Source organism: Homo sapiens, chromosome X, assembly GCF_000001405.40.
Source record: "Homo sapiens chromosome X, GRCh38.p14 Primary Assembly".
Lineage (NCBI taxonomy): Eukaryota > Metazoa > Chordata > Mammalia > Primates > Hominidae > Homo > Homo sapiens.
Window position 1 is genome coordinate 11253429 of NC_000023.11, and position 25781 is coordinate 11279209.

At 38.8% G+C, this 25781-nt stretch overlaps 1 protein-coding gene across 5 annotated transcripts in view, besides 1 other annotated feature; it reads right to left on the minus strand.

Moving 5' to 3' along the window:
• Positions 1–25781, minus strand: part of ARHGAP6 (Rho GTPase activating protein 6) — a 528377-nt gene that overhangs the window by 115885 nt on the left and 386711 nt on the right. For 4 of the 5 annotated variants that reach the window (NR_109776.2, NM_013427.3, NM_001287242.2 and 1 more), the window contains one exon: positions 1120–1279. Coding sequence is in view for 4 of the 5 variants with exons in the window: in NM_013427.3 (NP_038286.2) it covers positions 1120–1279 (160 nt within the window). In the remaining variant the exon portion in view is untranslated. Of the gene's footprint in view, positions 1–1119; positions 1280–12257; positions 12565–25781 lie in introns of those variants that run through there. The other variant, NM_013423.3, reaches the window with a different exon arrangement.
• Positions 2421–2715: a silencer, noted in NCBI's record as "tiled region #12683; HepG2 Repressive non-DNase unmatched - State 24:Quies, and K562 Repressive DNase matched - State 6:EnhF". NCBI's record gives its function as "represses a minimal TATA promoter and a strong SV40 promoter by Sharpr-MPRA in HepG2 and K562 cells {active_cell/tissue: HepG2 | K562}" and the evidence as "EXISTENCE:reporter gene assay evidence [ECO:0000049][PMID:27701403]".

Below are 25781 nucleotides of genomic sequence, written 5' to 3' on the forward strand. Positions count from 1 at the left end.
ATCCTCCGTGGAAATGTTCTAGTTTCTAGAAGCTTCCTATCCCTCTTCTGCTTTCCTTTAAGTTTCAGGCACCCTGCCCAATGTTGCTTTTCATGGCAGATTTACTTTATGTGTATAACATCATAGTTTTTCATTCTGCCTCAAAGTAGCTGTCTGCTACATACTAATACAAATTAAAAAGTGCCTTTATAGGCCAGGTGCAGTGGCTCACGCCTGTAATCCCAGCACAGCACTTTGGGAGGCTGAGGCAGGCAGATCACAAGGTCAAGGGATTGAGGCTATCCTGGCCAACATGGTGAAACCTTGTCTCTACTATAAACACAAAAATTAGCTGGGCGTGGTGGTGTGCACCTATAATCCCAGCTACTTGGGAGGCTGAGGTAGGAGAATCACTTGAACCCAGGAGGTGGAGGTTGCAGTGAGCTGAGGTTGTGCCACTGCACTCCAGCCTGGCAACAGAGCGAGACTCCATCTCAAAAAAAAAAAAAAAGTGCCTTTATAGACAACAGTAAACATACAGAGACAAAGTTTTATGGATTCAAGGAATTCAAGTACATGTGTCTCATCTTTACTGGAATCAGGATCTGTTTAAAAAACAAACATCAGCCAATCAGGTGTGCACTGGCTCCAGTGCAACATACAACACACCAGCTGAAAAACTGGCTAAAAAGGAGTTAGGTTCGGTAAAATCCCTGATTCTGAGTTGGCATAGGGTCAAACGACAAGTTTAACAGAGTGTTAAGGCATTCTTTTCAAATGGGTTATTTTGAAACCAAACTGAGATAGACACAGCTTTTCTTCTGACCCTTTAAGATGACCTTCCTGAAAATTATTTTTAATTGGTTGTTCAGAATCCATATAGACTGTTGATATACACACAGCTTTCCTTTGTAATGCTCCAAGTTGACCTTCCCTTTAAATAAATGTATTACCTGACATGCAAATTGTCCCTCTTGAACATGTCCTTCAAATGGACACTAATGCCAGCCAACAACCAAGAAGCTGTAGTTTCCTTCCTGTGTGAATATTAGGTGTGAGAAGAGTTCACAGCTCACGGCTTTGGCAGAGCCAATATTTGACTTGCAGTGTTCCCCGGCAGAAAGGCAGAAGAGGCCTTACCTTTGGGAATGGTGATCTGACAGCTCAGGTCACAGTCCTGTTGCAACTGATAAAAAGCCACTTCCTGCAGCCGGGCCCTCTCCAGCTCTGAGAGACTCTGGATGGGGACTGACCTCAGCCGTACACTGCGGCCTGACATGCTGTTCCAGGTGAAATCACCCTGTAGGCCAAAAAAAAAAAAAAAAAAAAAATCAAGAGTTACAGAGTTCACTTACCTCTCACAAATCTCATCCTCTCTTAGTAATAAAGTCAAGCAAACCACCTTTGTGTTCCAAAATTGGGTCTCAATTCCCAAAGTCAAATCCTCTTTTAGTTCACTGTGGATTTTCTCAGTTAGTTGCAAATGTCAAAATCTCAAGTATCTGCTGGGTCACATGATCTTATCTCATTATGCATATAGGCCTGAGGAAACTATGTAGAAAGATACTGTGAGGGTCCTACTTCCTCCTTTTTATGGGAACACATGGGAACTTCTAACTTTTGTGAAACACTGTGCTGCTGCTAATTGCCATCACACACATCAGATATAGGGGGATGAGTGTGTATGGAGAGCCTACCATGTGCCAGCGGCTGCACCAAGGGCATTTTTTAAAATTGGCAAATAAAAATCGTACATATTCATGGGGCACATGGTGATATTTCTATACATATGGTTATTAGATATATATTTCTAATAATTAGTAACTAATCTCAAACACTTATTATTTCTTTGGTTGCTAACATTCAATATCCTCCTTCTAGCTATTTGAGATCATATATTACTGTTAACCATAGTCAAGGGCTTTTTAGTTAATCCCTCCAACAACCTTATGAAGTGGTTAACATTTTTTACCTATCTCATGTAAAATTTAATAATATAATCTAGTATAATATATGAGAATATATTATAATAGTAAAGTTTATACTTATGACATATTATATGAATAGTATAGTAACATATACCAATATAATATAGATGATGAAACTGAGTCTTGAGGAGGTTAAGTAATTCTCCCCAAATCATAAAACTTATAAGATTTGGAATAAGGACTCAAGCTAAGAATGTAGGGCTTTAAACTCTATGCTAATATTGTAACCACTGAGGTTCTATTTGTAGCACTCTCATGAGTTATTGTGAACACAATAAGCTTAGAGTTATGATCAACAGGAAGATGTTCAGTATTTATAGAGACATTTGATGCTAAAATACTCCACATCAAAGAGTCAAAGCAAAGATTTCCACAATCCTAAAAGTGTACTCATGTGTACACATGCACACCCTTGCAGGCCACTGAGGGTAAATGGCTCCACCCTCAATGCAGACAGTAAGAAAGTGACGTCCAAAGAAAAAGTACTTTACAATCCTCTGAAACCCAGTGTCTCCTTACTAAAGACTTCTTGTGAATCTCATGTATCAGGCATGCTGCAACAGATTTGAGGAGGCAGCTACTGTTGCTCAATGATCAAGAAAGAAAAGTTCTATCAGGGAAGGAGAGGTACTGGCCCACGCAGGGACTCATTGCAATAAATGGAACACTTAACAGAATCCCATAAGACTTCACCATCTTAAAGAAGTCACTCGCCTGGACGTGGTGGCTCACACCTGTAATCCCAGCACTTTGGGAGGCTGAGGTGGGTGGATCACCTGAGGTCAGGAGTTCAAGACCAGCCTGGCCAACATGGCAAAAGCCCGTCTCTACTAAAAATACAAAATTAGCCAGGCATGGTGGCGCATGCCTGTAGTCCCAGCTACTTGGGAGGCCGAGGCAGGAGAATCGCTTGAACCTGGGAGGGGGAGGTTGCAGTGAGCCAAGATCACACCACTGCATTCCAGCCTGGGCAACAAGAGCAAAACTCTGTCTTAAAAACATAAAAAAGAAGTCACTCACCTTAAAGAAGGGAGACAGAAAGACTGGTCCCAGCAACAAAGTGCCATAGCACTTTGTTTCACACTGGTGACAAATTCCTGTCTAGTGTATTCATTCCAAAAGTGAATGGCATGATGTTAATTCTTTGATATTTTCCCTCTTTATCTGGGATTTCATTCACTCATTTAATACATGAATATATTATACTCTGGTAGGGGCAGAAAATGAACGGGGTAAGTAAAAGGAATGGTGTGTGAAATAATGATAACTGCTAGGAAGGAGAAAAAGGCAAAGAAGGGGAAGTAGAAGAAAGGAATTTGCAGTTTTAGAGACAGCAGCCAGGAAAGACCTCACTGAGAAGGCAAAATTTGAGCAAGTGTTAAAGAAGTTATGGCTTTTAGTTTCTTTGCCTTGACATGTATGAATTATATCCAGTGGATAATGATGAAGACTAGCAGGAACCCAGGAGGAGCTCAGGGAGGGTGATGCAGGAGGGGATGTGGGGAGAGGAGTGAGTGAGCAAATCTAGTCAAAGTGAGGAGGCTGCAGTCACATTCAGTGAACAGAAGAAAATTCTTCTGGGGCCAGTGTATTTTGAATTTTTTCTTTCTTTTATGTTTTTGGTATAACCAGACTAAGAAAAAATAGGACATATAGACATTATGGTTGGGGACTCAGGCCTTGGGTGTACCCCTCACTCACACCCTCTAAGCTTAGAGAACTACAAGGAACACTATTGGGGAATTTTTTTTATTATTATTTTCTCCCAGATAGAAAGTCCCCAGATGAGTTTATAAATTTTAGATATCAAGCTTAGGTACCTACGGGAGCTGACTGTTATTTGAAGTGTCAAAACAGAATTACATACCTATTCTTTAAAAGCAATCAAAGATGTGACCTCCAATGGGCTTAATTATCTGTAGTAGGGGTTTGACAATCTTTTTCTGTAAAGACCACATAGAAAATATATCAGGCTTTGTGAGCCATGTGATCTCTGTTACAACTACTCAACTCTGGCTTGGTGGGATGAAAGCAGCCACAGATAATTTATAAATCAGCGAGTGTGGCCATATGCCAATAAAACTTTATTTACAAAAACAGCAGGCTGGTTTTGGCTGGCGGGCTAGAGTTTCCCAACCTGTGAACTATAGCTTATGACTGAAATAAAGTAATTCCTAGAAGGGACATTTTGTTCTTATTTACTAAGTCCTCCTGGTTAATTAATTCAAACAATATTTAATAAGCACAGATGAGATGCTAAGCTCTGTGGTAGGCTTGGGACTATTAAGATGACAACACAGTCCTCGTCCTCAGAGTTAACCTTCAGGTAGGAAGAACACAAACAATCCATAAAACACAGAGATTGTGGTACTAGAAGTAAGTACTAAATGCAATGAATGCCTAGGAGACAAGGCTTTGTTATCTATCTGGAGGATCAAGGAAAGCTTTATAGAGAAGGTAGTGTTTCAATGGAGGCTTGAAAGTTGAGTAAGAGGGGGCAGGGTTCGCCCAGTAGCAATGCAACTTTAGCAGCAGGTGCAAAGGCAAATGAGTTTGAGAAAACAGGCTTGTTCAGGGAATTACAAGGCTGGAAGGAGGAAAAGGGCAAGAGGTGAAGCCAAGCAGAAGTCAGGGCCAGATTCTGTAGGGCTGTCTCTGTTGGCAATGCAAACCAGATTAGATTTTCCTCCATAGACGATGGCTAGTCATTCAGGAACTTTGAGCTAGAGAGGAACATGAGCAGATTTGAAATATAGGGAAGATGACTGGAAACAAGTTTCCTAAGGAATTAAAGGGGAGAGCAAGTCAAAGATGTGGAGATGAGAAAAGACTCCGTGCTAAGTGGGATGCTGATTCCAATTTGAACAGACACGGGAGAAACTTAGAACCACATAGATGCTAGAGAATAAACTGGATGCAGTGAGGGGAAGAGAAGGGGTAATCTAGGATGACTCTTGAGTTTCTAGCTTCAGCAACTGGGCAGACAGTAACACTAATCACCAAGATGGGGAATGGCAGAGGGAATTATGTTTGCAGGGGGAGAAGGAAGATCACCCAGTTTTGGACATGGTGAAAATGGTATTTTCTTTTGAAAAAACAGAATTAAAACATTACTAAGTCTGGCAAAACAGAACCTGGCCAATTTATATTTTTCTTGAGCTTTGATTTTGTACTCTCAATTAAAACAGTTCCAACACAATCAAATAATATATGTTTTTTCAAACTGTTTACAAATGACTACAGTTAGCATAATAAAAAGTAAAGTGCGATGCTTCAAGTTTACTTTAGTCCATTATATATTGCAGCCCACGGTTCTTAACTTCTTGGATTTTTAAACTTCTTTGTTATATTTGGAATTGTTAACCAAAAGAGAGATCTGAGGTTATTTTGTTATGGCAGACCCAGTGACCAAGACAATATCTGTATTTTTTGTTTCCTTATTTTTACTTTTTAAATTTCTGTGGGTTCATAGTAGGTTTATATATTTATGGGGTACATGAGATGTTTTGATACAGGCAGGCAATGCATAATAATCATCATGGAGAATGGGGTATCTGTCCCCTCAAGCATTTATCCTTTGAATTACAAACCATCCAATTCCACTCTTTAAGTTATTTTAAAAATGTACAGTTAAGTTATTGTTGACTATAGTCACCCTGTTGTGCTATCAAATGGTAGGTCTTATTCATTAATTCTAATTATTTTTTGTAGCCATTAACTATCCCCACCTCCCCTGATCCCCCACACTGCCCTTCCAAGCCTGTGGTAACCGTCCTTCTACTCTCTATCCATGAGTTCAATTGCTTTGATTTTTAGAACCCACAAATAGGTAAGAACATGCGATGTTTGTCTTTCTGTGCCTGGCTTACTTCACTTAGCATGACAATCTCCAGTTTCATCCATGTTGTTGCAAATGACAGGATCTCATTCTTTTTTATGGCTGAATAATACTCCATTGTGTATATGTACCACATTTTCTTTGTCCATTTTTTTTCCTGAAGTTCCCTAATGATTCTCCCATGCAGCCAGGGTTGAGAACCACTGAGCTCAAGGCTTGAATAGATTCTAGTTTGAGTGTGCATCCACATTGTTCAGTTAGGCTATAATAAGTGCTATGTAGTAAGTCTAGAAAATCCAAGAAGTCCTCCATTGTCAAAGAAAGATACAAATCTACCAAGGGAAAGAAAGCTATTTCTATGACAGTCATAATAGTAAGGACGTTACTTTCTGAAACTGAGAGTAAGCATGACCCTGCTTTCTTTTATTAAACAAATGAAGTGATGACATAATCCTTATTTTTTCACTCAACAAAAAAATTAACTTGAACCTGACACTCTCAGAAGCCACTCTTAGCCACTACAATATTCTGGCTGGTTGTTGCAAGCTTGTGAGTTGCCCCTCTGCCCACATTTTGTTCTGTGGAGGTAGAGAGAAGTACAGTAAGGCGTAATCAGGTGGAAGGTGTGGTTGGTAGAATAATGTCTCCCCTAAAGATGTCCATACCCGAATCCCAGGAACCTGTGAGTATGTTATTTTACATGGTAAAAGGGACTTTGCAGATGCTATTAATTTCAGATTATTGAGATGGGGAGATTATTCTGAATTATCCAGGCGAGTGCAATGTCATCACAAGGAGAGAGGTAGAGGCAGAAGCGAGACAAAAATGTGATAATGGAAGCAGAGGTGGGAGAGAGAAAGATTTGAAAGAGCTTGGCTGCTAGCTTTACAGATGGAAAAAGGAGCCACAAGACAAGAAATGCACACAGCTTCTAGTGCAGGAAAAGCCAAGGATTCTCTCCTGGAGCCTCCAGAAGGAACATGGCCTTTGATTTTAGCCCAGTGAGGCCCACATGAGACTTATGTAAGTTTGTGTTGTAAGTTTGTGATAATTTGTTATGGCAGCAATAGGAAATGAATTCAAGAGTAAGGGGGAGCATTAGAAAAGGAAGTTGGTGGGGTGAAGGGCATGCTCGCAGACACTTAAAAAAGTAGGTTTTGACCTTCCATCAGATTCTTATCTCCCTGCTACCTGATGCTAAGGTGCTGCTTCATACTACAGGTACCATCACCAATGATTTGTGCTGGAGAGGTCCCAAGACTGGAATTCTGAAATCACTTTTCCCATAAAATAGAATTATAGAAAATTACATATAGTAAATACTTTACGCTCTGTGGGTCTTATGGTCTCTGCCACAGTTACTCAACTTTTGCCATTGTAGGGCAAAAACAGCCATAGACCCTACATAAACAAATATTCCAAAAATTTTATCTATGACATGAAAAGTCAAGGCTCATATAATTTTATGTGTACAAAATATCCTTCCTTCAAATTTTTTTCAACTATTTAGAAATGTAAACATAATTCTTAGCTTGCAAGTCATACAAAAACGGGCATCAGGCTGCTTTTGGCCCACTGGCTGTTGTTTGCCAACCCCTGATATGGAGATTAGGGTCATGTAGTGCCCTACACATATTTGTGTAGCATCTACAGCCATATTCCAGCAACCCAGTCCTAGGGCCTTGCATTATCAGCCATATACAACAGCTAGATTCAGGAGGGCAAGACCCTTGTCTGGCTTATTCATTTTGATGTTCTCGGTATCTAAGGCAGTACCTGGCACTTAACAGCCACTGAATAAATATTTGTCAATCTAGGGACTAATGAACCAGCCCCATCATGAGTTAAATAAATTGGAAACCTAACCAACCCATACAATGTTGTATATATGTGGGAAACTGTATTCTGGATTCGAATAAACCATTAAGAGACAGTCTTTTGAAATAGCCTGTTGATAAGCCAAGAAAAACCCATGCCAGTACATGAGGGGAGAAAATAAATGTGATAATAGGTGACGCGGGGAAGAGTTAATCCGTGATACCTATACCCACCCATCAGACTTCATAGGAGCAGTAAGACATGAACACAAAGGTCATAGTCTCCCTTTGACTCTCATGGCATGGACCATAAAGTGATAAACAAGCACCCAGGAAGGGCACCAAAGCCTACCAGCACAGTCTAGAATATGTTTCTGGTGGTTTCTCAAGGCTCACATGCATGGTCCAGACCAGCATTTTTCTTTGGTGACTGTTTATCTTATAAATGAATGACTCATTTGAAGGCTTTCTGAATCTAGTCTTTTGAGTGATCATCATGGAATTTTTTTAAGGATTGAAAATGGATGATTTCAAATTTGTTTAGATTTTATAAATGTAGATGAAATTGAAATTCATCCAATGTCTCTGGATAGACTAAAGACCTTGGCAGTTGTAAAAACATCTTTCTATTCTAGGGTACTATGTGACAGCATTAATAAAGGGCAGCAATATGATAAAATGATATAGGATAATGGTCCTTGGTGGGGTAATGTTGCCCCCAGTGAGCATTTAGCAATGTCTGAAGACATTTTTGGTTGTTATAACTGGGGCAGCGTTTGATACTGGCAGCTAGAAGATAGAGGCTAGGGATGCTGCTAAGCACCTTATAATGCACAGGACTACTGCCCAAAATCAACAACTATCTGGATCAACTTGTCTACAGTGCAGAAGTTGAGAAACCTTGGTTTAGCATAAATAAGTCTGCTGTTAAGCCCAGATTACATATAATCTCCTTAAAATGATGGTGCTGGAAATATTAACAATTATTTATATATTTTGTTTATCATAAAAATATGTACTATATATTCGTTTATATATCATGCATTACTATGTGTATTTTACATGTATTTTTCTACGTATTATACACATAAACAGAATCATAGGGCTTATTTTAAGCTAGTATTAATAAGTACAAACACTACAAACCTAATTAAAAGAAGCAAACCAAAAAAAGTTTGAAAACAATAGAGTCTTGATTAACTGGAGAACAACTCACCAAAAGTGTTAACTAAAGAGATTTCCTTCCCACCAGAAGTATATGTCTCTATGTTTAGAAAAAAAGAAGCAAAAGACAAACTAAAACCCAAACAATCTAATATCTATGCTTTATTCAGAAAGTCATTCTTTTGAGCTAAGTTGCACCTTTACAGACTTGATTTTCCCATGAAATAAAATTGATTGAAATAATTTTGGTTTTGTTCTACACCACATTGTTTTATTACATCCTTGGGGCTAGTCTCTAACTGCAGCATCTCTTTAATCTCATCCAACTGTAAACTCCCCAGGGCCAAACAAGGGGTGAGGCAGGGCTGTTCAAAATGTGGTTTGTGGACCCAAGGCATCGGAATCACGTGGGCAGAATGATCATTGTTAAACACGTAGGTTCCTTTGGCTCTAAGGTAGATTTAGAGAATTAGAGTCACAGGGAATAGGTCCCAAGCACCTCCATTATAAAGCAGCATCCCCAGATGAGTCTTACTTTTTGCATAATAAAAGTTGAGTCTCACTGGCATGGTGGTGAAGACTTGGATTCAGATAGATGGCAGTTCTTTGGTAAGATTCAGAAAATCTCTGATCATCGGTTTTCTCATTATTAAGATGGAGAAAAGAACAAGACTTAACTCTCAGTTTGTAGGGATAATATCAGACAATACAAATGAATTTCTTGTGGAAGGCTTATAAGCTCCCACAAGACCTGAATAAATGGAAATTTAAGTTATAATTAATATTAATCATCACCACTCTAAATTTGCATCACCATCTGATGTGGTTTGGATGTTTGTCCCCTCCAAATCTCATGTTGAAATACAATCACTAATGTTGGAGGTGGGGCCTGGTGGGAGGTGTTTGTGTCATGAGGGTGGATCCCTCATGAATATCTTGGTGCTGTCCTTGCAATAGTGAATTCTTGCTCTGAGTTCATGTGAGATATGGTTTTTTAAAAGGGCATGGCACTTCTTCCCTCTCTCTCTTGCTTCTGCTCTTACCATGTGACAGGCTGGTTCCCTGTTGCCTTCCATCCTGAGTACAAGTTACCCAAGGGCATTACTAGAAGCTGAGCAGATGACACCACCATGCTTCCTGTATAGCCTGCAGAACTGTGAACCAATTAAACCTCTTTTCCTTTCTTTATAAATTACGCAGTCTCAGGTATTTTTATGGTGATACAAGAAGGACCTAACACAGCATCTTAACTTGGAAGTATTAGAGACACCAAAAACTCTTAAGAAATGTGTGCTGAATTACACAGCAAGTTTTACAAGGTGATAAGAGATAGAGAAGGAGGTAGCACAGGGTGAGGGGAATAGGAGTGCTGCATGAGCTACCAGGACAGCCTTACAGAGAACATGATTTTTGCACCAACCCTTAAGGAGGTGAGGGAATGAGCCAGGCAGGTTTTGGGAGCCCAGCAGCCCAGGCAGAGACTGGTTGACATAGGTATAGCATAGCCTGGTGGCTAAAAGCAAGGGGTGGCAAGCTGGGCTGCCTGAGTTTGAGTCCCAGTTTTGCCACTTACTAGCCAGCCATGTGGCTTTTTAGCAAGCTACTTACATTCCCCATGCCCCATTTTCCTCATCTATGAAATGGGGATGATGACAGGGATTTTGCTGATACAAGCTGACTAGCCGGGGAGCCAAGTACTGCCTACTGATTGTTTTCATAAATCAAGTTTTATTGATTTATGAAAACCACAGCCACACTCATTCATTGTTATTTTCTGTGGCAGCCTACAGGCCACAATTGCAGAGTTGAGTTGTTGCAACAGAGACTGCACAGTCCATGAAGCTGCCCTTCCGTAAAGGTAACCATCTGGCCCTTTATGGAAAAAGTTTGCTGACCCCTGGACTGGACTAAAAGTAAAGACACATCTATGATTAGGATCTGCCTTTTGCCATCACCATTTTCCTCCTCTCCTAAGATTTTGTCTCTGAGAAACATCCCAGAGAGCCTGTAAAAAAAAAAATCAAACAACATAATTTAGCATATTAGAAAATATGCAAATGCTAGCATGAAATAGAAGTGGTTATCTGCAAATGGCCTGTTCACCTGGGTTACCGATAAACTAAAGAAGTAGAAATGAACATTGTCAAACCCAGGGCTGGGCTAACACCATCTAAAAAATCAAATGTCACTTACATCTTGTTTCCAGTGGAAAGAACCTTTCCAGTGGTTAGCATAGAGGGGACATACTGGAAGTCCTCAAGGGCAAAAACGTCAGAGCAAAAGGTCAATTTCATTTCTGTGTAGTCCCAGTTGAATTGTGGACTTTTCTAATGGCCATCAATTTAATTCTCAGTTCTAAGCTTCTCTCGAGTCTTGGATGGGAGGAAGAAGGTAAGATGGCCTGCACAAATCTCAGGGTTGCAAAAACTGGAAACACTGGCATGAATTAGAAATTTCTTAATGACAGGGCCAGCAGCTGATGGTTCTACTTGTCTTTCTCTAATTAAATTTAGTTCACTGAAATTAGAACGACCTCCGGAGATAGATTAGACCTTGAAGATACTGCTCACATTTATAGATGGTCCGCTCTCTGCTAGTTACTGTTCTAAGCCTTTTATTTATATTATCTCATTTAATTCTTACAACAACCTAAGGACTATGTTACCATCATTATTCCCATATTTCAGATGAAGAAACTGAGGCACAGAACTTAAGTAACTTGCCAAGAGCACACACCAATTAAGTGGCAGAGTTAGGATTTGAAGCCAGGCTTTAGGTTCTAGAATTTAGACTCATAACCACTATATGTATTTCATAACATTTCATGATAAACCAATCCAAACCTCTAACTTTACAAATGAGCAAAGCAGCTGCAGTGGCATAATGGGATCTGGGACATCAGGGTCATGTTCCCCTCTTTCCACCACCAAGCCCTTTCATTATGAGACATACCCTTATAATAATGAAAGCCAGACAGTGTTTAAAAATTCAGAGGCTTAAAGTTTCCTCTTTTGTAAAAGACAGCACAAGCACATCCGATGTATTATTAGCCTTATTTAATATCCAAACTGTTCCCCTAAACCCATATTTATCACAGCCACAGCAACTAAAATGTTGCACCCATATTCAAGAAGTTAAGAGGGAAAGATAAACCACTTTACCCTTTCAGACTTCAAAACAGCCTGTGCCCGAATCTTTTACAGAAATTAGCTCAATTATGCTGTTCTGTTAATCATGACACAATCCTTTCCTGCTTGAGTTTGCTCATTTCAAGCTGCCACATCATTAATCTAAAAATAAGGTTCTCATAAATCCATATTGACACAGACAGTTTTTAGCTGTCACACATCTCAGACACTGATCATTCCAGTTTTCTTCCTAAATCACAAGATGGATGTGAAAGAATCACAAAACTTTATCACAATTATTTTCTGAAAAAGTAGTGTAAGTATAGATATTTATATTGCTTACCCATAAATTATAATCAGCCGCGTCTTTGCTGTCCTCTCTAATCTAACTGAACTAAGCTTGCAGTAGGAAGTTGAGTCTGTTTTAAAAAAATTATTTTTTTGGTAAAAAATGCATCCTGAAATGGCAGATCATATTGAATGTCTGAGAAATGGCCCAGCTGGCATAGCTGTGACTCCCACGATACCTTTTGTTGCCAGAGACCTCCGCTACTGTGAATCTTGGGACCAAAAATATGCAATCTTTTCATCGGATCATTGAGAAGTTCCTGTCCTTTCAGAACAGAGGCAGGCTGTGTCCCTGAGTAAGTGCACAAATGAGTGAGTGCGTGTGTTTGTATGCGTGTGTGCCTGTGTGTGTGTGTGTGTGTGTGTGTGTGTGTGTGTGTGTGAGAGAGAGAGAGAGAGAGAGAGGGTGAGAGAGAGAGAGAGTTGGGGAGGAGGAAAGAGGGGAGGGAAGGGACAAAAAGAATGAGAGTATTTTGAAGAAATATACTCGAGTTAGAAAAGGATTCCTCTAAAAAAAATCCTCTTTTCCACAGGGATCTACAAACGGTAATTGGATTGTAACTGTGCAAACTGTCCTTATTAGGAATCAACCAAAGAATGTTGGAAGCCACTGGTGAAACCCCTGAGAGCAAGATAAAGCACATAGGATGCCTTCTTTGTTTAGGACAAATTCTCAGTTCTTAAATTATATTTTAAAACTACTGACTCCATTTTTCTAACACTAGCCACACACACTAAAAAGCAAAAGTTTTCATTCTCTTTCACACTGAAGCATAACACATGCTCTGTATTTTATCCTCTTTGTGGGACAGCAGTCCTTGAGAAGTTGTTCATTTCCTGAACAGAGGGTGTGGAGGTCAGAGTGAATATACCCACATGGCCATATCTAAGAGGGTTCAGGTTGGGGTGGGGGTTGGGGGTGGCATCCATGAAGAGCAGAGAGAAAAGGGAAGATTAATTCCAATCGCGAATTACCTTGATCTCCATGCATTCCACATGGCACTGAACCAAATACAACTCGAAAAGACATCTTTGTTTCCCAGTCAATAGGAAGTTATAGTTCTCTCATGGGTCTCAAGTGAATTCCAACAAAAGAATCACTGTGATTATAATTTACAAACCGGGAAATGATTTCATGGAAGATCTTACTGATTCAAAATTAAGGACTCGGTATGCTTTTACTAGGATTCTGTGAAACTAATCATGTAAGCCACACATAGCCTCTGCTGCTGCTGCTGCTAAGGAAGGAATTTTAAAGCAGTAAAATATTCCAGGTGGTTTTCTTTACTAGAATGATTAAACTTAAACAGAGATTCAGAGTAAAATCTACCTGTTACTGCACATACCTCCACCACCACTATCCTAAAAACTGATGTTGAAAATACGCATTATTCCAGTAGACAGTCAACATGGCTCATACTGGATACTCATCAATGGAAGTTACATCCTCATTTAAAGATATCTAATATCTTAATATCAATATATCTAATATCTTAATATATTATTTCACATGAAATTGATAAATATGTAATTCATTTTTTATTATTAGGCAAATGATCCTTTAGTTTATAAATAGATGACAGCAACATGTAGTTCTGACTGAGCACTTACTAAGTGTCAGGCATTGTTTTAGGCATTTTATGGGCACTGACTTATCTAACCATCAAAATAATTCTTAGCAGTAGGTTACATTATTATCCTCATATTACAGATGAGGAAACAGAAGCGCAGAGGAGTTAAGTGACTTGCTCAAAGATTCACAGCTCATAAGTAATGCGGCTGTCATCCCAACCACTATGAGCTTACAAATTAACTGGAAGACAAAACCACAGTTCAGAGTCAGTACTAGTAGGAGCCATGTTATAAGTATCTAATAAGGAAGAGACAGTGATGAAATAAGAATGTTTACCTAACACTAGAGTGGTCTGTTAAATCAATTATTTGATGGAGACATACACTGTCAGGTCAATAAATGTTTCGTAAGAAGGTGACTAAGTGAATAATCTCAAATAATCCCGAGAGACAACATCTTGTGAAATTCCTAGTCTGTTTTAAGAGTGGAAGCAAGGCAGGCCTTAAGAGGAAGTGCAGAAATAATGGAGAAGGTGTGTATATTTGGTATTCTTTGGAAAATGCATTCAAACCAGAAAAACAAAACATAAAGATAAGGAATCCTTTTTAAGATTTAAATAACAACTCTTTAAGTAAAACCAATAAGAGACCAAAGAGTCACTGAAAGAGCCTTGGAAATAAATATCAGGAAGCAACTAAAAGGTTCCATCTGTGGAAGAGTTTCGCTAATCACAAAAAGTGCTGAGAGCACAATGGTCATTTTTTTCCCATTTAACCCTCCATATCTAAGCATACCAAGAAACAATTTATAGCCTAAGAATCTATGCCATTAAGCATTCATTCCACCTTCTTCTTGGCTCTTATTCTGGATTATTTCTGTTTATATCACTGGTGATATTTTGCACATTTAAGGCAAAAATATCATAGAATCACTGTCAAACTTTTTGAGTGAATACATTTCTGATTACAGTACTCTTTTGCCTAAAACCCTTTGATGTCTCCTCCTTAGCTCCAGGACAAAGTCCAAATTCCTTAGCCTGGTATCCAGTGCGGTGTGCTTTTACTTAGATGGAATAAAATCAAATAGCCACTACATAATAGTGAATGATAACAGTAGAAGTTTACTGAGCATGTATTAGGTGCTAAGCACTTCATGTGTGCCATGTATTCACTGCCTCCAACAATTTCATTTTATAGAGGAAGTGATGGAGGCACAGAAATGGATGGCGCACAGTGAGGAAAACACTGACTGCTCATGAAGCCCGTAGCCCCTTTTTCGTGGGCATTCAGCTAGTCTACATTTCCCAGCCTCTCTTGCAGTTAATAGTGGTCATATGACTGGAGTCTAGCTAATGGAATGTCAGAGGAAGTGACAAGCTTCATTTCTAGCCCCAGTCCATAAAAACCTGGAGACAGCATCCAGGCAACCTGCATAGCCATGTGTGGTAGTCCCAGGAGTGGACCACATTTTTCAGTGTTCTTTGCCTAGTGTAGTCCCCTGCCCTTCAAGCCCGCCTGGCTCTATGAGTTACTTTAACCAACTGAATGTGGCAGAAGGGGATGCCAAGCCCATTCTGGACCTGAGACATAAGAAGGCATGGAAACTTCTGCTTTTGCATTCATAGGACCCTTGAGCCCCCATGACATAGGTGTAGCCACTATGTTGAAGAGACCACGTGGAGAGGCAATATAGCCAGCGTGAAAGGTTTAGTTGCCCCAATGTCTCAACCTAAATCCAGCCCACCCTACCTCCAGCTGAATGAAAGGAAGAAGCAGCCCAGGTTCAGAATCATTGCTTGGAGCACAGCTGTCCCACCAATTGTGGCCAATCTAACAGTATGAATGACAAATAGACTTATGTTGTGAAATTTGGGGATGTATCTGATATAGCAGCTGACCTCACTTTCCTGAACTTCCCATATGAACACAGATAATAAATCTAAGCAGCCTGATCTGGAGCCCTTGCGCTTGAAACTCCTCCTATACTTCTCCCCACTGAACGACATCATGACTCATTTCGTCCCTTCCTACATTCTCACTTGGAAACAGAGTAGTTGATCAACTGGATGGTAAAGTAAAAATTGCTCTTTATATATTGTTTTGCTGAGCATGTAGAAAGTCTTTAATATAAAAGAAGACAAATATATTTCTAATGACATCCTTCAGATTTTGAATAATATATAGCCAATGGTTAGAAATAGGTAATGCTTTTATCTTTCAAAATCATGACTGACTCATAAAATGGCACAGTGAAATTTCATTTAGATTATATTCATTACTGATAAACCTTCCATTGGTCCTGGTAACCTTTTTTGAGTGTAGCATAGAGTTCGCATGTAAGGTCTTAATATTTTTTAAGACTATATATAAAAATGCAAATTGTGAGAGACATTTTAGTTCATCTGCTGCCTTACAGTGCTCAGTGAAAATGTGGTACCATCAGTTTAACCATCAGACTCTATCTTTGTATTGCTCAGAACTTCCAGGGGCTAGGTGATAAGCCAATGTATATTCTCTCATTGCTGCCATTTGCTTCCTTAACTGTAGCTGTCCGTCCTTTCCCCATTCCTAGCACCCTGACCTTGGTCTAATTGCTAGCGTCCTTCTGATGCTACTGTGACCTATTTGCACGGAGAGAATGTTTTGGATCCTTCAGATCTAAACTCTACCATCAAAGCAAATCTAGTAACTGGAAAGCTATTTAAGACCATGAATCTGAAACAGTCAAAACCACAATAAAGAACAACTAAAATTTACTGAGTACTTATTGTCTCCATGAATACGCTATCCTCTAGGAGGCAGGCACTAGAATTATCTCTATTTTGCAGATAAGAAAGTTGAAACAAAGAGAGCGTAAAGCGTAAAGAGCTTGCCAGAAGTCACACAACTGGCAAGTAAAGAGTTGGCACTCAAACCCAGGCAGTCTGTTTTCAAATGCAATAATTTTAACCCCTAGGCAATATCACAGCATGCCAGCAACCTTTTCTTTATTCACTTCCTTGGAAGACCTATAAACAAAGTAAGTATGACACAGAGCATCCAACAGAGACTGGAAGGCCTCTCTGCAACTGGGAGAATTTTGGTAAATACATAGATGACAGCTCAGGGCTCAAAGCCCTGTGGAATTGAGACACAGAAATATGCAGAAACAGAGGCAGGGCACCAGGATGAAACAGAGAAAAGAAAGCCAATAGATGGGGCAATGACCTCCAGGAATAAGGAGAGGGACAGGTATTTCATTTAAAGAAAAAAGGAACAGCCATGTTAGAAAACCTCCTGGATGCCAGATCCTTTACAAGTAGAACTAGCCACTCTCAGTTTTAGGTAGGGGTGTAACACCATGAAAGAGATGTTTTAGGAAAGATGAATGAGGCCGAGTGGTGCAGAACTGATAGGAAGGGGATAAAGAGAGGAAGCAAACTGAGTCTACAATGTAACCGGTAAACGGAGGCTCTACCTGTGGAATGAACTGATAAGAAGCGAGTCTAGGCAGCAATAAAACAAGCTGACTCTAGGAATTCTTTCTTTATGAGAGTCCCTCTCTTTTTCCAATAAATATGGATCCCCAGAAAATTAAGCCCAAGATTATAGCTGGAGAAATACCTTTGAGTACAGAGTGTGAAATTTGCATCTCATTTTAGGTGCCCAGGAGGGTTGACCTAGAGAAAAGCATTTTATCTTGATTCTTATGGAGAAATCTGTATATCGCTGGTTCTACCACACTGCAGAGAATGGTACTTATTTTGTAGCTGCTCCTTCTACTCATGTAGTGAGGAACGCTGAGTTATAAGGTTGGATGCTTCAGGTTTCTTGAAATAAGAAGGAAACTCAGATAAGAGGGCACTCATTCTAGGTAAGATGTCATGTGAACTCTTTGTAGGGCAGGTCATTTATTCTGTTATGGGTATATTCACTGCTCATTAAACATGGAATGGATTTCAGAGCAAGATTACCTAAAAGATACAGGGATGCTGAAGTACTGTCACCTCAAACTGAAGAACCCAATCCCAAGTCAGATATTTACAAATCAGCAGGATATAAAACAAGCCTTAAGGATAGAAGAATATCGTATTTAGGAGCTTGAAAACTCTTAGGCCAAACAAACTAGGCAAAATAAAAAATGCCAAAGTGAATTCCTTTCCACTTTCTCATTTCAATGCTATATTTGGTGACATTGTGTTTCATCAATTGCACTTTGGCACTTTGCAAAAGTCTCTTCTCAGTGGGGTTCTTCTCTAATGAGAAAGGAAAACAATTTCCTCAAAATTACATGCGACTTCATAAACATATTAAGTTAATAAATTAATTTTGGATATCATCAAATATATAGACGTTGCTTCTAATCTGTTGCCTAAAATGTGAGCTGTGGACAATGAGCCTCTCGGTTTTACTGTAAGATAATTTATCCTATTAAACTCTTTTAATAAGTAATTCAAAATCTACATGAATTGTTGTACCACTTCATTCTAAGTGGGGAAAAGCAAGTTATTCATTTTTAGTTGCAGTCTGGTAGTTAACTCATCTAAATCTTGTAGAGTAAATGAGCAAGCAAGCTGCTTTAAATAAAAATATATGCGGCTACATTTCTAGGCTGCAGAAAAAGTCTAGCATTAATGATATTTTCAGAATCATCTTCCAAAGCAAAATGACCTCAGATACAAGTGGTGATACATTTTAGAACAAATGTATTCTCCAAGGACCAACAGTTCTCTAAGTTCATTGCACATTATAATTACTTGCTGTAGTTTTCAAAAATTTTTATGACCATGTCCCTCTCCCCAAGAACAGCATGGTCCAATAGACTTTTCTATAACAATGGACATTTTTGTTAACAGTACTAATTGCTAAGGTGGCTACTAGCCACCCGTGGCTAATGAGCACTTGAGATATGGCCAGAGAAACTGAATATTGAATTGGTAATTGTATTTAATGTTAATTGATTCAAATTTAAATTACCACAGGTGGATAGTGGCTACTGTATTGGACAGCACAGGTATAGACCAAGTCAATTAGACTGTCTGGGGTTGGGGCTCAGACAATGATATATTTATAAAGCTTTCCCCAAAATTCTAAGGTGCAGTCCAGGTTGAGAACCATTGTAATGGCCAGAGCTTAATGAAACTATCAGGGAAGACAAATTCCTTGAACTTTTTCCAGGATCCATAACTTTTCTCCAAATTCCACTAAGAATTTGTCATGTACCTTTGCTTCCCTCCCTCCTGCCTCCACTCCTCATTTCTTGCACCCTTCCACATACTCATGTGATGACTGCACTCTCCATATATTCCTTCATTGACTGATTCTGCCAGATTTCTCCCACACCGAGAGCATAACGTGCCCTCATCTCAAAGCTCAGATTCTTTTTTTCCTTTCTCTTCCATTGACAGCAGAAAGAAAACTTAACAATGCTACCAATTAAGAGATTAAGTCTCCAAGCACATACATCCATAATTTAAAATTGTTTTTCACGTGCACAGGCTTGATCCAGATGTCACTTTCCATGAGCTCTGCCATAGATGTGATGGGGAATATTTTGAACAGTAGCACAGTTAAGCAGCTTTCATCTTATCTGTTCATTTTGCCACTGTTTCATTCAAATGGGATGCAGTGTTATAGCACAGTGGTTACAGGGAGGACTCTCCTTCTGGCTGCCTGTGTTTGAATTCAAGTTCAGCATATAACTAGCCATGTGAGTATCCAACGCTTTTAAGCCTCAATTACCTGCTCTGTAAAGTGGAGATAAAATAGTCCTGTAGGGAGGAGAGAGCTATGCATGTAACACTTATGATAAATGAACGTGTCACATGCGCTGATAGACCCAGGTTTTGATTGCTTTTTCCCTACACCCCTCCCCAAACCTCACCCTTTTTTTTTGGTAAATAAAGCAAATAGCGGGGCCAACTTTTGAAGGAGAAAGTCATGAAATCCCTAAAAGCATGTTCCAAGTATTTGATAAATTAACGTGGCAATATGAAGACCATTTTGAAAACAGTTACAAAAAAATCAATTATATGGTAATCTGATTTTTAAAAATTATTAAAAATTTTTATTTTAATGAGTCATTTTTCTTGACTTCCATGCCACCAGTTAATATTAATAGGATGGACAAGGAAGGGTATGCTGTAAACATAGCTACATTTTATTTCATTTGTAAAAAAAAAAAACCAGTAGACTCAGAATTCCAGAATTCAGTGATATGAACATAAAGAACATGATGTCCAATGTTCAAGTACATAATCGCTTTGTTGACCTTTTGGTAATTTTAACTGTTGTACCCTAACAACATGTTCCCATGTCATTTTCACTCATGGGCATTACTGATTTGTGCACGTTCACATTTTCTACACAGAGTTTTGCTGCTTCTTTCTTGTTAAGTATCCATCTATGGGTAGATTTTTTTTTTAACCTCAGAAACTACAAAATTACAACCCATTAGCAACATAAAAATTTGTAGTCACCACAACTACTAATTAGTGGTGCACAGTAAGGATTATTCATCAGTGACTCACAGCACAGATAAAATAAGCTGAGAGCTATGTCCTGGATCTAAATCCAAAAGATTTAGATATGTGGGGAATGACTATCATCTCTTGTACATATAGTGTGTACCCATTATTATTCCAGTCCCTTATGGTGTACTCATGGTTTTAATCATTAAACAATCTTAAAATGTGAGGTTTATTAATATGCCCATTTTATAGATGAAGAAATCAAAGCACAGGGCAGTCAAGTAACTTGTCCCAGGACACATATTGCAAGTGGCATGGCTGAAATTCAAACTCAGGGACCTTAGTCCTGAGTTTGTGGTCTTAACCACTATCCTATGCTACTTTTCTGCACCTTGCTCTCCTACTCAAGAAAATTCATCAAAATAACTGTATGAGGTGGTTCTAGGCTCATCTCTAATTCTCTCTCATTTAGTTTTCTTACAAATATTCTAAAGTTTGTAACTTAATTATTATAGGTAATAAATTACTTCTAACACATTGACTGAGGCATGCCTTGACCTTGAGGTGGCAACTGTTGACTTAAAGCAGGGTCAGCAAAGGACAGCCTAAGGCCTATTTTTGTAATCAAATTTTATTGGAAAACAACCACACCCACTCATTTACCTATTGTCTGTGGCTGCTTTTCCGATACAACAGCAAAGTTGAGTAGTTGCAACACAGACAGTATGATCCGCAACACCTAAAATGTTTTCTATCTGATTCTTTACAGAAAAAGTTTGCCGACCCCAGATCTGGACCCACTGAAAAGAAATCACCAGATATATGACATAGGGGATGACAATGTTCACATTTCATGGTGGAGCATTTCACTATTTCAAACAGCAAAGGAACCACATTTTTTTTCTGTTTCTTTTTTTAATTAATTTTAAGTTCCAGGGTACATGTGCAGGATGTGCAGGTTTGTTACATAGGTAAACATGTGACATGGTGGTTTGCTGTACCTATCAACCCATCACCTAGGTATTAAGCCCAGCATGTATTAGCTATTTATCCTGATGCTCTCCCTCCCCCAACCCCACCACCGGACAGGACCCAGTGTGTGTTGCTCCCCTTCCTGTGTCCAGGAACCACATGTTTTTAAAACTATGTTTGTGACATCTCTGTATGTATGAGCAGATGGGTCCACAGAGATCACTCAATGTCTAATTTTCTTTTACGCACATAATGAGAAAAAGCTCAGGGAGAAAAAGTGAAATCAGTAGCATGGACTTTAGTATTTGGTATGAGCTACTTATTAGGAATCAGCATTTCTTCCAAGTATTCTCGAAAGAAAAGACATTCATACTAGAGTGATGCCTATCAAATCCACTATGGCCGGCCTGAGAAACTTGTAATTAAAAACTACAAACATTATAGATTTGTCTCCATATTAAATAGATTTAACTATCTCTACATCTATGTGTATCTATATGTATCTCTTGACTATTATATATTTATTATATGATGAATTATATATGTGACATATTTCTATCTTATATAGACAAATATTTATAATAGGTATGTGATAATACACAGTGGGTAAAGGGTACGTATGCAAATGCATCTTGCTTTAAGTAAACCAATTATTTGAAAATACACACAATAAAATTAGGGGCAATGATTCTGTGGTTCAAATACATCAGTATGGGTTCCCTGCAGTGACCCAGGAAAACTGAAGCAAAATCATTTTTAACATTGCTTCCTATGTCTCTCCTACTCACACTCAGAAAGTCACCAGTTTCTGTGGATCCCACCTCATTAAAAACTGTCCTTTCCTTTAACACTTCCTCTCTGGGAATGTCCACCAGCACTTCCACACTCTTGTAGGCTGTCTCTCCCTACAAAGCAAAACTCATCTTGTCCCTTCCCTTTTGAAAGCCATCATTGAGGCTCCTAGCTTTCCAGATGAAGTTCTCAACTCTGAGGTGAAAACACAAGATCGCTCAAGATCTGGCCACTGCTTAGCTCTTGGGCTTCACCAAGCCTCACTTACTTCACATCCCTTAATTTCAGCCACATGGAAGAGCCCAGAGGACTTCATGGTTAGGGTGAGGGGTGCTCTCAGCCCAAATGGCTTCCCCATGCCTTCCTACTCACCCTGTAATGCTTACTGAGCATCACCTCCTCTGAGAAGCCCTGTCGTCCCCCTACAGGGACATTACAAATGAATCATCACATTAACAAGAAAATCATACCATCTAAAACACAAACAAGTTTACTATGGACCTATAAGGAACACCAAAACATGACCAAAGGAAATTCACCTTATGTTTGTTAAAGAAGGCGAATCTGCTTCTTTCAAGGTTCCAAATGACCTAGACACTTGAGATGTCTAGACAATCACTTGTGATGTCTCATTGAGGGAGGAAAGAGGAGGGGTGGGAATGTTTAAATGTCAGCTATTTTTCCAGAAAACTCTAACGTCACCGATACGTCCCTCCTATGTAACCATCACACTCATCTCCCCCCGACCCTGCCCCATCTCAGCTATTTTCTTGACTCTTATTTAAACATTGGAAAGCTATTTGATTATCTATATTTGTGCCTTTTCTCCCTGGCTAGACTGTAGGTTCTGGAAGAATAGAAACAGCACTAACATTTTGTGCTTTTGTATATTTGCTGGTTGAAAGAAAATTTGAAGGAGAGTAGCAATTCTGTCTATACAGAAAATCATTTCTGTCTATTAGCATGGAAACAAGACCAGCAGGGAATATTTATATTTAGGACATTTATTTTAAAGTAGCTAAAATCACTTCCAGTAAAAATGCAAAAAAAAGAAAATCTTGCTTCCTGACTTTTAGTATTAAGAGACAAACATGTAAAAGGGAAAATTGAAAAGGGAGAAACCAACATGAAGTATGACACCAAATGCAGGTATGACGTGAAAACAAGCCATCTGCACTTACTGGTTCACATCTGATTTTCTAGCTGCCACTTTTCAGATTTATTTTTCAAAAATGTTTTCTCCTCAATATACGACTTTTAAAATGATAAATTACACAGTATTTCACAGACCTGTGTAAATACTTTTGCTCTGATGTATAGAAAATCATGCTTTCTCTGAGCAATGAAGCATATTGAAATTTACATTTTCAAAAATAAATTATAGTAAAATAATAGAAGAGCTTGGACATAAAAATCATATGCCATAAAAGTTACCACTTTAAAGTGTATAGTTCTGTGTTTCTTTTTAGTATACTCATAGATAGTGTACAACCATCATCACTGATTCCAAAACATTTTCATCACACCAAAAGGAAAGCCCATACCCAGTCACTCCCCATTCCCCTCTCACCCCAGCCCCTGGGAACCACTAATCTACTTTCTGTCTCTATGGTTTTGCATGTTTTTGACATTTAATATAAAAGTAGAATCATATAATATGTGGGCTTTTTGTGTCTGGTTTCTTTCACTTAGCATGTTTTTGGAGTTCATCCACGTTGTAGCATGTGTCATTACTTCATTCATTCTTATGGCAGGATAATATTCACTGTATAGATATACTAAATTTTGCTTGTCCATTCTTCAGTTGATGGGCATTTGGGTTCTTTCCACATTTTGACTGGTATGAATAAAGCTGCTGTGAATATTCATACACACTTTGTGTGAACGTAGGTTTTCAATGATTTTGGGTATATAACTAGAAGTGGAATTGCTGGATCATATGGTAACTATGTAGCCAAAAACAAAAAAAAAAAACGTAGACAACATGACTCCAAATAGCAAGATTCAAACACTTATTTTAGTGCAAAACTTGTTTTCCGCCTCATTCCATTCACATGAGATATCAACAATTACAAGAAAACTCATGCAATGTTTCCACTTCATATAGATCAGCCATCAGAGCTTTTTCCAAGCTGTGATAAGGAACACAATCCTTCAGTTTCTTTTGCTTTTTACAGTCTGATGAATATGAGTGTCTTGAAAAATTTAGAGGTTTCTAGTATTCTTTTTTTTTTTAAAAAAAAATTAGCCCTGTAATGGCTATACCACAAAGAGTAGATTAACTAATTTAATCATTTATGTTTATATTTTAACTCTAAAGACTAATTGTTGATATCCAGCATGGCAATTTTACTTGTTAAAGTACAGTTCAGAGTTTAGTTCCTTTCAGGGAGATATTCTTGCCTATATCAGAAGAGAAGCTAAAAAGAATGCTACACAAAATAGATCAATAGGCTTGCTTTAATTACTCTTGTCCTCTTTGATTTTATTGCTTACTGGGTGAGGAAAAGCCAGAAGAATTTAATACCCCTTACAAGATAGTCATTGCACATTTCATGAGTTGCTAGGGTCAAAAGCAGATGAACAAATGCTGAACTTCTTCCTGGCTCTACAGAACACGACCCCACACCCTCCAGGGTTGAGAAATGGAAGAAGCCACTAGGATAGGTAGTGCAGAATAATATCTCTCACCCCTAAGGTTTCCACACCCTGATTTCTGGAACCTGGGAATGTGTTACCTTACATGGCAAAAGGGACTTTGCCCATATGATTAAGTTAATAACCTTGAGAGGGGGACAGAAGTCTAGATTATCCAGGTGGGCCCAACGTAACCACACAGGCCCTTAAAATAGGACAACCCCTTTCAGCAGAATTCAGAGTTTGAGGAAGATGTGACTATAGAATAATGATCTAAGAGATGTAATATTGCTGGCCTTGAAGCTGGAGGAAGGGGGCCATGAGCTAAGGAGTGTGGGTGGTTTTAGAGCCTCCAGAAGAAATGCAGCTCTGTCAACACCTTGATTTTTGTCCAGTGCAACCTGTGTCAGATTTCTAACCTACAGCACTTTAAGATAATAAATGTGTATTGTTTCATGGCACTAAATTTATGGTAATTTGTCACAGCCATGATGACAGATTAATTCAAAAGAAATCAGAATATTTTTATGCCTGCAAGGGACACATACATTATTTAATGCAGGATTTTCCAAGCTGTTCCATAATCAAATATATTTGAAAAAGTTGTGCATGGTAGCTTCAACTTAAGTAGTCACAATAAACAATAAGAATAATAGAGAAGTCCTGCAGAGGGGAAATCATAACTCGGAGTACCTCCTAAATACACTTGCTATAATCTCACCTCCTTCTATTTTTTATTTTTTTTTAATTTTCAGACCATCTCTCCATATCACTCGAATTCCCCAGAATATAGTTGGGACATGCTAAACTAATTCCATCTGCTCAGAACCTGAGGCACAATGGGAAGAAGTGACAAGCCAAGGTGCAGCTTGGCAACACAAAGACATAACCCTGGACTCATACTCTCCATCTGGAGTCCCGTCCAGGATGCCACTCTGTCTTGCTGTATCTGCATCACAGATAATGGCAATAACAAAGGGATGCAGCCACAGTGTGTTTCTTAAGGTTCAGACCTAGCTTAACATGATGACTTGTTTTTCTATTGCCAGAATTTATGAAAGTTAGATCTTTGGTGGGAGAAGAGGGTATCAGGTGAA